The sequence below is a fragment of the Homo sapiens genome, chromosome 15 (assembly GCF_000001405.40).
Source record: "Homo sapiens chromosome 15, GRCh38.p14 Primary Assembly".
Classification (NCBI taxonomy): Eukaryota; Metazoa; Chordata; class Mammalia; order Primates; family Hominidae; genus Homo; species Homo sapiens.
Genome location: NC_000015.10, coordinates 43,276,271 through 43,276,874, shown reverse-complemented (window position 1 = coordinate 43,276,874; position 604 = coordinate 43,276,271). Strand labels below are relative to the sequence as shown.

At 57.8% G+C, this 604-nt stretch overlaps 1 protein-coding gene across 2 annotated transcripts in view; it reads left to right on the top strand.

The window, feature by feature from the left end:
• TGM7 (transglutaminase 7) overlaps nucleotides 1-604 on the top strand; it is a 25,985-nt gene extending 25,381 nt beyond the window's left edge. The window contains exons 12-13 of one of the 2 annotated variants that reach the window (NM_052955.3): nucleotides 1-13; nucleotides 261-604. The exon at nucleotides 1-13 is cut by the window's left edge and continues 121 nt beyond it. In NM_052955.3, coding sequence (NP_443187.1) covers nucleotides 1-13; nucleotides 261-420 — 173 coding nt within the window. In that variant the 3' untranslated portion in view covers nucleotides 421-604. The remainder of the gene's footprint in view (nucleotides 14-260) is intronic. The other variant, XM_017021903.1, reaches the window with a different exon arrangement.

Genomic DNA, 604 nt, shown 5'->3' with positions numbered 1-604 from the left:
AGATAGCAAAGGAGTAAGTGACGCTTCTGCCCACCTCCCCCTTGCTGGTCTCAGGAAAGGGGTGCCCCATGGCGTCACAGGACCCTCCTCAGTCTCCTGTGCAGTGCCTCTCTGCCCCCACTTTCTCACCCTCCTCAGGAAAGGCTGAGCTCAGTGGTGGTGGTGAGTGGGAGCCTCTTACCCACCCAGAGGGGAACCAGATCACCCCTGCCGCCAGCAGGAAGTCCTCGAGGCTCTCACAGGCTGTTTCTGACTTTCAGCCTTGGGACTCTGGTGGCCGGACACACCCTCCAAATTCAACTGGACCTCTACCCGACCAAAGCTGGACCCCGCCAGCTCCAGGTTCTCATCAGCAGCAACGAGGTCAAGGAGATCAAAGGCTACAAGGACATCTTCGTCACTGTGGCTGGGGCTCCCTGAGACCCGCCCTCCAGCTGCCCTCCCTGGCACCCCTGCCCCACCTGGCTCCTTTCTACTCCTGGCTATGTCGTCTTGGCTCCACCTCTGTCCTCTCTCTAGCCTGCCTGGGAATGAATGAAGCTCTGTTAGAAACACCGTGTGCTTTGGGAAGAGACAATAAAGATGTCTTTATTTATCACCAGCA